Source organism: Homo sapiens, chromosome 5 (assembly GCF_000001405.40).
Source record: "Homo sapiens chromosome 5, GRCh38.p14 Primary Assembly".
NCBI classification, from domain to species: Eukaryota; Metazoa; Chordata; class Mammalia; order Primates; family Hominidae; genus Homo; species Homo sapiens.
Window position 1 is genome coordinate 3,324,949 of NC_000005.10, and position 2,020 is coordinate 3,326,968.

The 2,020-nt window shown below is 50.2% G+C and overlaps 1 annotated feature.

The window, feature by feature from the left end:
- Positions 445-626: a silencer, noted in NCBI's record as "fragment chr5:3325507-3325688 (GRCh37/hg19 assembly coordinates)". NCBI's record gives its function as "represses an EF-1alpha promoter that drives an FKBP-Casp9 reporter gene in an ReSE screen in phorbol 12-myristate 13-acetate-treated (for megakaryocytic differentiation) K562 erythroleukemia cells {active_cell/tissue: K562(+PMA)}" and the evidence as "EXISTENCE:reporter gene assay evidence [ECO:0000049][PMID:32094911]".

A 2,020-nucleotide genomic window follows, 5' to 3' on the forward strand; every position in this document is an offset into this window, starting at 1 on the left:
CCCTGTTCCCCGCCTTCCTCGCCATGACTGGACGCAGCGGGGCGCCCTGTCCCTGCCTGGAGCTCTTCCAGCTCAGGGCCCCATCAGCGCCACCACCTTGGACTGCCGCCATCCAGGGCGCAGGGCCCGCTGCCCCACACCTGAGGGACACAGCCAGGCTTTCTGCTTGGCCTGCTGTTCTCTACGTCTCACAGGCGTCTTGCTTTCCACCATGCAACTTCACAATCTGCCCAAATGTCCTTTTATTAAAACTAGTCGACAAAGTCCCAAAGCCCTAGCTGTTCGGCGTGTGTGTGTGTGTGTGTGAGCGCGCGCGTGCGTGGGGTTAAGTGTTTCCATAATTGCATCTCTCTTGAAAATCAAAACAGAACAAACCGTGCTTTATGTACGAGTAAGAGTCATGATTCAACAATGGGGCCTGCCTGAAGGAGCTGCCTATTTAGTCACATACCACAGCAACCTACTGGCTTGTCATTTTATGATCTGGCACGGAGCCGACGGCGCACACGGTGTCTTGGGCAGCCTTGGGAGCCCGTGACAGTGCTGTGACCAGCGGGGGCCAGTCCTGTCCTTCAGATGCTGTGAAGGGCTTGTGCTGGGTGGTAAATAGCACAGGACTTTTCCAAGCCCACCGCAAGGCAGGCGACGCGCATAAAGGCATTTCCATATTTCTGCAAACTCACAAAGTATGAGACGTTTCCCTTTCATATTTAATAAAGATCTCCTCCGTCAGCTGCAGACAGTGATAAGTGTAATATCCTTAAATGGTTAATCCAGGGATCATGGCTCAAGTGCTTTCCGAGGGCTGGGGCAGAAAGGCTGTCGGTAGCTGCTGTGTGCATTTCATAAACCCAGGGAAGAAATATATATTTTTTTGATTTGGCTTTTTACTCTATCTTAAATGCTTTATTTTTCAGGGGTGAGATAAGGCCTGGTTCTTCACATAAAACTAGAGCTTAGCCGTTCCTGCGTCTCCCTCCGTTAAGGAAAAGGTCCTGTCTGTGCACAGATGTCTCAGATTAAATTGTATCTCATAGTCCTTACAGTGCTCAGCACTAGATGAACTGCCAACAGGGCCGTAGGCAAGAACTAAATTGCTTTGGTTTCAGTACACAGTGAATTTGGCTCAGACAAGCTGAATCAGTACATTAAATGCGAATCCCTCACAGATTTGAAAGCAGCCTTTAGCACAATTATTGACTGTGAGTGATGATTGCGTCTAATTGAAGGAGACTTTTGCTACCTGTGGCTCTGCTGGAGTCCACCCGCGCCGCGGCGGGCGCTGCGTCTTAATTCAATGTTCCGGCTTCAGAGCAGCCGTGGAAGCCGGGCCCTGAAGTGTGTGCACATGGTCGATAAACTGTAATAAACTTTACGGGTTCGGTAACGAGGCTGCGTGTATAATTCAATTTTTTAATTCTGGAAAAGAAAATAGCTAACAAGTATGTCGGGCTGCAATAATGCATTACTTCCCCACGTGCGGCCACCACCCCCGAAACAGGAGGAGGCCCGACTCCCCACCGAGGGTCGCCCCTGGCTGGTTTCACGCCTTCCCGGGGAGGGCCAGCCCGGCTGCCTGGACGAGCACCAATTCTCAGCAAATTTGTGAGGCAAACAAAATAATGTGACAATTTCGTATCTTTTGTTATGGAGATTATGCCAAGGATCCGGGAAACGGATGGATTTCTTAACAGATTCCGCCGGCCTGCCTAGACCTAGCCTGTCCTGAGTAACTCCTACCCTGGCCACCAGGCTCCAGATATGGCTTAATCCTGCCCCAAAGTTACTGATTTTTCTCAGGGAACTAAAGGCAGTTTTCTTATGGGTCTTACATTTAGAATCTTATTTTTTCGTGTTCTTTGAAAAAGGCACACACACACGCATGCACACACGCATGCACACACACCCACACACACACACACCAGCAGACCCTGTCAATGTGTTGGCTGTGGATGTCTCTTTCCCCAAGTGCATGTGTGTGTGCGTGTGTGCATGTATGTGTGTGTGCGTGTGTGCATGT